The sequence below is a fragment of the Homo sapiens genome, chromosome 13 (assembly GCF_000001405.40).
Source record: "Homo sapiens chromosome 13, GRCh38.p14 Primary Assembly".
NCBI lineage: Eukaryota > Metazoa > Chordata > Mammalia > Primates > Hominidae > Homo > Homo sapiens.
This window is the reverse complement of record NC_000013.11, coordinates 27,034,134-27,044,194: the sequence shown is the minus strand read 5'-3', so window position 1 is coordinate 27,044,194 and position 10,061 is coordinate 27,034,134. Positions and strand designations below refer to the sequence as shown.

General features: G+C 48.5%; 1 annotated feature.

Moving 5' to 3' along the window:
• Positions 7,199-8,398: an enhancer, noted in NCBI's record as "CDK7 strongly-dependent group 2 enhancer chr13:27609934-27611133 (GRCh37/hg19 assembly coordinates)". NCBI's record gives its function as "activates an origin of replication core promoter dependent on BRD2, BRD4, P300/CBP, MED14 and CDK7 cofactors, with strong dependence on CDK7, by STARR-seq in HCT116 cells {active_cell/tissue: HCT116}" and the evidence as "EXISTENCE:reporter gene assay evidence [ECO:0000049][PMID:35650434]".

Here is a 10,061-nt window from a genome sequence, read left to right as displayed (position 1 = left end):
CCCATGATGGTGACACCTGGGCTGGATAAAGTTACTAAGTCAGGAAAACAAGAATTAAAAGTGAGGACTCACTCTGGGTTCAGAAGCCTGTTTGTAAAAATACCTGGAGGTATTAATTTGTGCAGGATTGAAAGGACCACAGAGAAATTGAGAATGACATTACAGTCATTCTTACTCAAGAATGAAAACCAGGCCAGGCGTGGTGGCTCACACCTGTAATCCCAGCACTTTGGGAGGCCAAGGTGGGCGGATCACCTGAGGTCAGCAGTTCCAGCCCAGCCTCTGCAACATGGCGAAACCCCATCTCTACTAAAAATACAAAAATTACCCGGGTGTGGTGGTGCATGCCTGTAATCTCAGCTACTTGGGAGGCTGAGGCAGGAAAACTGCCTGAACCCAGGAGGCGGAGGTTGCAGTGAGCCGAGATCATGCCACTGCACTCCAGCCTGGGGGACAGAAAAAAAAAAAAATGAAAACCAAGTTCAGCTTACTAATGATACAGGCCAATTCTATGTCTAGAAACCCGACATTCACTGTGGCTCTTATATTTACTTCAGTTCCTTCCTTCCTTATATTTACTTCAGTTCCTTCCTTATATTTACTTCAGTTCCTTCCTTCCTTATATTTACTCAGTTCCTTCCTTATATTTACTTCAGTTCCTTCCCTCCTTATATTTACTTCAGTTCCTTCCCTCCTTATATTTACTTCAGTTCCTTCCTTCCTTATATTTACTTCAGTTCCTTCCTTCCTTATATTTACTTCAGTTCCTTCTCATGCAGGAATTTTCCTTGGCTGGGAAAGGCTGAGGGAAATTTCTTGTTTGGATCCTTGTCGCATTTCGCGCTCTAATTTTGCTTTTCCTATTCTTTTCTGTGGGTGGCATGCCAGTCCGCATCAGAATGAGCATGTGCCTGTATCCAGGATTTGCATACTACAGAACCAGCTCTGTCATCCAACCTCTTCTAAGCTGACTCATGGAGCAAATGTGCCAGCAGATCCCCATGGCCCGGTGACCACAGGCAGTTTTCCTGCTCAGCTGCACGCTTTTGAGTTGAGTGGTGTTTGTCCCTACATCAGCTTATGCCTGTAATACATGTTATTGTGATTCAGTCATTTAATTACAGATTATGTAAGCAAATTATGTAAACCAATATAATGAGCACAAAAAGAAAGTTGTTTCTTGAAAACTAAGTTGAATGATTTAGAAAGACTCACTAAGGGCAAATTGACTTAAACATTTGCTTTCAATTAAGTGTACGGAAGATTAGGGGAATATAATGAAAATAAGGAAGGCCTCTGTGCTGAAATTGCTTTTCATGAGTCTTTAAGATCTTATGATGCTTCTTTAAAGAAATTAACATTTGGGCTGGGCACGGTGGCTCACGCCTGTAATCCCAGCACTTTGGGAGACTAAGGCAGACGGATCACAAGATCAGGAGTTCGAAACCAGCCTGGCCAATATGGTGAAACCCCATCTCTACTAAAAATACAAAAATTAGCCGGGTGTGGTGGCGCGTACCTGTGATCCCAACTACTCGGGAGGCTGAGGCAGAAGAATCGCTTGAACCCGGGAGGCAGAGGTTGTAGTGGGCCGAGATTGTGCCACTGCACTCCAGCCTGGGCAACAGAGCGAGACTCCATCTCAAAAAAAAAAAAAAAAAAAAAAAGAAAAGAAAAAGAAAAAAGAAATTAGCATTTGGCAGTGGTTCATGCCGTCATGCCTGTAATCCCAGCACTTTGCCAGGCTGAGGTGTGCGGATCACCTAAGGTCAGGAGTTTGAGACATGGTGAAACCCCGTCTTTACCAAAAATACAAAAATTAGCCAGGTGTAGTGGTGCGTGCCTGTAGTACCAGCTACTCAGGAGGCTGAGGCAGGAGAATCACTTGAACCCAGGAGGTGGAGGTTGCAGTGAGCCGAGATCGTGCCACTGCACTCCAGCCTGGGCGACAGAGTGAGACTCCATCTCAAAAAAAAAAAAAAGAAAAGAAAAGAAAAGAAAAGAAATTTACATTTGGCAGTGGTTCATGCCTGTAATCCCAGCACTTTGGGAGACTGAGGTGTGTGGATCACCTAAGGTCAGGAGTTCGAGACATGGTGAAACCCCGTCTCTACTAAAAACACAAAAATTAGCCAGGTGTAGTGGTGCGTGCCTGCAGTCCCAGCTACTCGGGAGGCTGAGGCAGGAGAATCGCTTGAACCCAGGAGGTGGAAGTTGCAGTGAGCCAAGATCATGCCACTGAGCTCCAGCCTGGTCGACAGAGTGAGACTCCATCTCAAAAAAAAAAAAAAAAAAAAAAAAGACATTAACATTTGAAATTGTGGCGAATGCTTTCTAGGTGGAATTTATGCAAAAAAGGGGGCAAGCTCCCTAGTGGAGGCACCACACTCAAAGAAAGGCTTTGGCCCCACTCAAAATACTGGCAAGTGAATTTCCATATGTGTGTTTTAAGTTAAAATAAAATGTTTAAACTATTTATATAATTTTTTTATCATTGATTCATTCATCCGATGCCTATTTTATTGGGTGTCTGCTATGTGTTGGTATTCTACGTTCTGGGAATGCAGAAATGAATGAAACCAACAAGGCCCCTGCCCTCTTAGGATTTCCATTCTAGGGAAGGAGCCCGCAGCAGACAAATATGTACTCTGTCATATGTGATACATTGCATCATGCACGTGGATGCCCTGTGCAGGTAGGTGGAGAGACAGTGATGGGTGAAGAGGCTGATGTGGTGAGCATCTCTCTAAAGAGGAAGCATTGGAGCAGAGATGGAAATCAAGTGAGGGCTGGGGAGCTAGGCCGAGATATGGGGCAGAAGGACCTCTGAGGGGAAGCCCCGAGTTGGGCCTGGGCTGATGCATTTCAGGAAGAGCCAGGGGGCAGCCTGCCTGGAGGGGCCGATGGGAGGTCAAGAGCAGGGTTGAGAGCAGGGAGACTGCAGGGCAGATGGCTCAGGCCTTGGGGATCCTGGCGAGGACTTTGGCTGTCATCCTGAAAGCCATGGAGAGCCCTGGGGTGTTCTGCGGAGGAGACTGGCCAGGTCAGGTCTGTTTTATTTTCAAAGGTCACCCAGGATGCTGTATGGAGAACTGACTGGAGCGGGGCAAGAGTGGAAGCAAAAAGTCACAAAGGGAACAGAGAAGGACCAGTGTAGGGTCCAGGACTTCCTGGAAAGGACAGTGGGAGACTGTCCAGGTGCGGAGTGTGGGTGGGAGCATCCAACCCCAAAAGGTGCCCTGGAGGCAGAAGCTTCCAAGGACCATGCAGACAGAAGGAGGCTGCAGGGCTGGAGGAGGCGGGAAGGAAAGGAGGTGAGACCCACAGTCCTCGCCCTTTGCAGTAGCTGGAATGGAAAGGCAGGAGGGACGAAATGGGGCGCAGGGAGGATGTTATCAGGGAGGAGGGAGGCCCTAGTTGTGACTGGGGAGAGGGACCCGCCTCCCCGCTGTTGGGCCCAGCTAGCTGCACCCCGCTGGACACAGGCCTGGCCACCTCTCCTACACGGAAGTTGAAGGTGGAGTTAGCTCCATTTACTTCCACAAGAGAAAGCAGAGCTTGATTTCACTGTTAAAAGCCATTTTCCCGACCTGAGAAGTGTTGGGCGCTGTCTCCTTCCTGTCTTCTGCCCTGTGGCTTTCTTTTCCCTCTAGTGAGGAGAGCAGAGTAAGGAGATTTTTTTTTTTTTTTTTTTTTTTTTTTTTTTTTTTTTTTTTTTTTTTTTTTTGGAGACGGCGTCTCGCTCTGTCGCCCAGGCTGGAGTGCGGTGGTGCGATCTTGGCTCACCGCAAGCTCCGCCTCCCGGGTTCAAGCAATTTTTCTGCCGCAGCCTCCTGAGTAGCTCCCAAAGTGCTAGGGTTACAGGCATCAGCCACCGCGCCTGGCCGAAGCCTGCTTTTTGTTAGTCTCTGGGGCAGACCTGACTCGGGCCAGGGAGCTCTGGGGAGCCTGTGGTCGGGCCTGCGGAGCGTCAGGGAGCACGGGCCTGCGCCCTGGGCCTCTCCTGCCCAATTTTGGCAGTCACTGTTGGAGAATGCAGCAGCTGAGCTCCTTGTTGGAGGAAAATGAGCCTAAGGCTTATTTTCTCAGGCTTTAAGTAAACGCTCTGCGGTTTAAAAGCTTTTGGAAAATGCCTGTTTATGGGAGTCTATTTTATGTACAGGTGTCAGCAATCTATCTGGAGAAAAAGTGTTTCCTGGAAGCCTAGGAACATGGCTGGGACCCCCGGGTGGACGGGAAATGCCTCAGCTCCAGCTCACTTTTAGGGACCAAATAGTTCTGGCTGAGGAATGGAAGGAGCATGGTCGGGGGATTTTACCCCAAAGGCCTGGCTCTAATATTTTGCCCTGTTTGCCTCCACCTTTGGGACTGGGCTTTGGGAACAGACAATGCCACAGGGTTGAAGAGCCTGAGTGTCTGAATCTTGCCCTGTTACAGCCCTCTCTCCCCTTGATGTCCTCAAGACATGGAGGTCAAGGCAAATGTCTGCTTTGGATCCTGATAAGCTAATGTGGACCGTGTTGAGAATGCCTCTTTATTGGGCAGGCTGGGGGCCCAGGACCAAGTCACGTGGCTGTTCCCCCAAGCCCACGCATACATCTTTCCGTGGGAGGAAAAGCCTATCTGGGAAGAAGCTGCCCACCAGGAAGAGCCAGGGGCTGGGAGCCTTCACCCCAGGACCTGAGACATGGCAGGTCTGGACCAGCTGCTACCTAGACCACCTGGGGGTAGGGGAGACCCCCATAGATGGGGAGACCGGAGGCTCCCTTGCCTCTCAGCAGGTGGAGGGAGAGAAGAGAGGCAGAGCTTCTCTGGGCAGGACAGTCCCAGCCAGGGGCACTCGACCCCGTTGGCCCCAGCCTTTCCCACATTTTTGATAACATTGTTTTTATTGGTAAATACGCCTCACATACATAAACTTGCGTAAAAGTGTGTGTCCAGTTGAATGAAGAATTATGATGTGGACACCTGGGTAATACTCCTTAGGTCAGGAACTAGACTAGAACTTGCACCCTGGAAGCCCCTGGGTGTGTCTCCCCGGCCAAACCCTTCCTCCTTGCAGAGTCATCATCCTCCTAGCTTTTAGGATGGTCATCTCTTTTCTTTCCTTTATAGTCTGATCGCTTATGTATGTATTCTTAAACAATGCACTTTAGCTTTGGCTGTTTTTCAGCTCTATAGAAACGGAATCATACTCTATGGATTCTTTTTTTTTTTTTTTTTTTTTTTTTTTTTTTGAGATGGAGTCTCACTCTGTCTCCCAGGCTGGAGTGCAGTGGCGCAATCTTGGCTCATTATAACGTCCACCTCCTGGGTTCAAGCAATTCTCCTGCCTCAGACTCCTGAGAAGCTGGGATTATAGACGCCCGCCACCATGCCTGGCTAATTTTTGTATTTTTAGTAGAGGTGGGGTTTCACCATGTTGGCCAGGCTGATCTCGAACTCCTGACCTCAAATAATCCACCCACCTTGGCCTCCCAAAGTGTTGGGATTACAGGCGTGAGCCACCGTGCCCGGCCTGGGTGCTTTTATCTTGCTTCTTTCCTTCAACATTGCTTTTTGAGATGCATCTATATGTGTGGCTTAAGTTCACTGAGTTTTCATTGCGGTATAGCATTTTCTTGTATGAATCTGCCACAACTACTTATTCACTTCCCTGTAAATGGAAAATTGGCTGTGGAATGGGTTGTTAGCAGTGGACAAGGCTGTGATGAATATTTCTGAGGGTGAGTCACTGTGCACACGTGCTCAAGTTTCTCTATAGTCTGCACCTAGAATTGGAAGTTCTGGATTTCCATATCCATAATTTTAAACATAATGCCACTCTTTTCCAAAGGGATAAATTGGGTTGTCCAAATCTTCATGGGTTTGTCTATTTATCATTTTAGTTTTGTCATTTTTTTGCTTTATATATTTTGAAGCTATGTTATTAATACATAAAATTATATCTTTTGGTGAATTGAGCATATTCAAAAACACTTTTGGCTTACATTCAAAAATGTCCCTAAGAGCACTGTGCACTGCCAACACTGAGCAAGAGCCCCGTGTAGAAAACTCACCAAATGGTATCTTCGTATCATTAAGAAGTGACCCAAATGATCTCTGCTAATGCCTTTTGCTTTTAAGCCTATGTTGTATTTGTAACAGGATCTTGGGAAAAAGAGACCACAGAAGAGCAAAGTTGGTAAGTGTGAGCCATAGAAGGTTGGAGAGAGGAGCAAGGTTGCTCCCCAGTGAGGTCTTGGCCCCTCTCCCTTCTCTTCGGAGATGGCATCTTATTATAATTCCTCCAGGCTCAGGGATACAGAAGTGTCCTCAGTTCTCTCCCTCAAGGGAACTGGAATGAGGCACAGGAGGTGGAGCAAAACCTTGAGGACAGCCACGTGCACCTGCCGGTTCCCAGAAGCTGAGCAACAGAGACCCAGCTGTGCACAGCTGTGGCCTCTCCACATGCTCACCCGCCACCCCAGGGGAGTTGGTGGCTGGTGCCTCCCTCCCTGAATTTTTTCCTTGCGTGTTGATTTTCCTTGAGCTCTGGGTGTGAGAATGCTCTCAGGTGCTGTGTTAGAATGATGTGCTTCCTCTCAGCTCACACAGAGGGCCAGATATTTGTCAATTTTGTTGTTCTTTCATTCATGTATGTATTAGTCAATCAGTCAACAAGTATTAATTGAGCACTGCTCTGTGCAGGCATTGGGCTGTTCTGGTTCTTCTTTTTGAGTTTCTTGGTCGCTGTTTATGGACAGTAGATAACACTGTGTTTGAAAGGCCAGAGATGCACTCTGAGGTCCTGCGGTGGCCAGGAAGGCTTTGGCCAGTTAGTAGGGGAGGGTGAGCAAGGGAGGTCTCCCCACTTCCTCGGACTCTTCTCTGTGCAAGTCGGAAACCTCTGATGTGAACATTTCTTGCTACAGGATAACTCTGCTCCTGAGAACCAAGAAGGCTGGTGACAGGAAAATGCCCCCCTGAAGCTGGCTGGGGATCTCACTTAGGGGTGACATAAAGTGAGGGATGTGCTGCCAAATGTCCTTGATTCTTTCTCCCCAAACTAACAAGATCTTAATTAAGCTTCACTCCGGCAGACAATTCAGAGATAAGCTAAGTGCCAGTTGCCGGGGCGCTTCTAGAGGCCAAGGCTTTAACAGCCACCATCCAGTCATGGGAAGACTAGGACTGGGAAGTGGAATTTTATTGCCAAAGTGGGATGCTTTTGAGAGTAAAAGAGGTGCTATTAATACGTATACAGGAATAACAGCTGTAAACCAGAACTGTCTTAGGCAAACTGGGATGTATGATCCCCCTTTCTAGAATGGTGTTTTTCAGAAGCACTCTGCAATGCAAAAAATGTAGTCTGCTTTTCGGCATGTAACTCAGAACTCCTGCTGATGAACAGGAATCCTCCAAGACAAATCTGACTCCTGCTTCCATTTCCCCTAGAGCACAGAACAGGAGCACAGCCCCAGATGCTGCTGGGTTGGGGCCACTTTATAAAGCCCCTCTGGACCTCCAGGACATGGAAAAGATGCATGCAATGCTCCCCTGGGGAAGTAGCAACCAGCCTGGAATCTCAGGGACTCTTTGAAGATGTGCGGGCAGGAGGGAGGAAATTCTTGTAGCTGGGTGGGGTCAGAACACAGGCCTTTGCTCCACACTGACATTTTCTTCAAAGGTCAAGAATGTGTTTGGGCTTTGTAGATGTTTTGCCAGAATATGATTTAGGGGAAGTTCCAAGCCCGGAGATTCAGTTTTTAAGTCGGCTGTCTTCTGTTTCCATGCCACAGTGCATTCATTGATAGTATTTTTAGAAAAGGATCTTTGAAAATGGGAAGGCAGGTATGACAGCAGGGTGATTCATTGGCTGTGCCTCTGCACTGGATGTCTTGGGGGCTGGGCATGAGGTCCCGGACGCGTGTGGATCACAGAAGGGCATGGGCTGGTACCATGAAGCAGGCAGGAACCCAGAGCACTGCAACTGCGCTGTGAACTCTTAGGTAGACCAGAGAGGTGAGGCGGGAACCTGGAATTTGGATGTACTTGCAGAGCTGGGATGGCGCTGACACAGCCTCCTGTGTCACAGCTTCCATCTCGGTGCGCGGGTCAGAATGAGCACCAACGCACACGCAGGATCATGACTCACCTCCCGCCTGTCCCCCCTTGCCTTGCTGTCAGGCCTTACTGCTGAGATACCACGTGTGTAGTTCTATGTGTGCTTGGGCACTCAACAGAGAGAGAGCTGAGATCTGCTCAGCTTTCTACTTAGCCAACGAATGTCCCACCTTCTGAGACTTCCCAGGTGCAAAACCCAGCATTCTCCTCCTAGTGAGAGGCAGCTGCCCTGCAGGGATGGACAGGCACTAGCTGACCCTCCAGGCTGAGGCGATGACAACCGGGAAAGATTTTCCATGCCTTTTTTGGTTCTACAAAAGAAAAAAAAAACAGGAAGACTGAAAGAATGGTTTATAATTGATTCTTAACAAGGAAGGATAATTAAACTAATAATAGTGCTAACGATAATAATTACTAGATGCAGTAGCAAACATTCTTAAATTCAGCATTTCAACTAATCCTCACAAGGACCCGCTGAGGTTGGTATCATTAGCTCCATATTTGAGCTGGAGAAACAGAGGCAGAGAGAGGCTGAATTGCTTGCTTGCCTGACATCGCACTGCTGGGAAGTGGCGCCAGTGTGGGAGCTGTCCTGGTTCATGTGGGACACAGGGACAATGACAATTGGCCAGACAAGAATGTCCTTGGGCTCCCACTATCAAATCCCACAGCTTCCCCTGTGTTTCTCTCTATTCTTTCCCCTTTCTAAATCGTGAGGAAGGCAAAGGTGGCCCTGCCTGTCCCAGGCTTGGGCATACTGAGGGGCCCTTCTCCTCTCTCTGCTCCAGCTTTTCTTATTCCCCATCGGGTCCTCCCATCAGCACTTACTGTCTCACGTCTCCCGTGAAAAAGAAACAGACAAAAGCTCTCTTCCTGGGGGGCTTCCTCCCTCTTCTCTGTGCTTCCTTCCTGTGCCACTAAATTTCTAGCAAGAACTTGGGTGCGTCCACTTCACAGCCCGCTGCCATTTGCATTCTGCCCCCATCAGCACGGCCCGGTCACCCATCAGCTCATAACTGAACCCAGCGTCCGCCTCTGTCCCTGTCCCGCTCGCCTTCTCGGAGGATTCGAGAGCGGCCACTCCTTCCTGGCTGCAGCGCTCCCCTCTCTCCCTTTCCTCACGACACCTCCTCCTGATTCTCCCTCTCTTCCCCCAGCCGCTCCTTCCCAGTTTGCTTTACAGATGCTCCTCTTCCTGCCCACTCGTGAGGCTGAATTTTAGGTGTCAGCTTGACTGGGGCGCGGAGTGCCCACATATCCTAGGTTTGTCTATGAGGGTGCTTTTGGACCAGGAGCATTTGAATGGGTGGGTGGAGCAAGGCAGATGGCCCTCCCCAGTGGGTGTGTGGGCCTCGGCCAATCTGCTGCCGGCCTGAATAGAACACCAGGCGAGGGAAAGGAGAATTTACCCTCTCTGCCGGACTCTTCTGGAGCTGGAACCGCAGTCTCCCGCTGTCGAACTTGGACTAGAACTTACACCATCAGCTCTCTTGCTTTTCAGGCCTTTGGACTCAGACTGGAACTGGGTCTCCAGCTTCCTGATGGCAGATCTTGGGACTTCAGTCTTCACGACTGTGTGAGCCAATTCCTTATAATAAATCTCTTTATATATGTATTTATATATAATCTATGGGTTATTTCTCTGGATAACCCTGAATAATGCACCCTTCCACAGTGCTGGTGTCTCGGAGCACTCTTCACTTCTCCTTGCTCCTGTAACCCCATGTCTGTGATAACAGAATTTGTGTCACATTGTCATAAGCCTAATAACATCCTTGAGGGCACAGATTGCATCTTATTCATCTACCTAAGCCATAATAGGTGCTCAGCAAGCGTTTGAACAAATGAATGAACAAACTACAAACTTGAAGACACAGAGAACCAAGCATAATACATATGACCATGAGTGATTCTCATCCACCGTCCATTCAGCCCCTGCTGATGGGGATGCCATC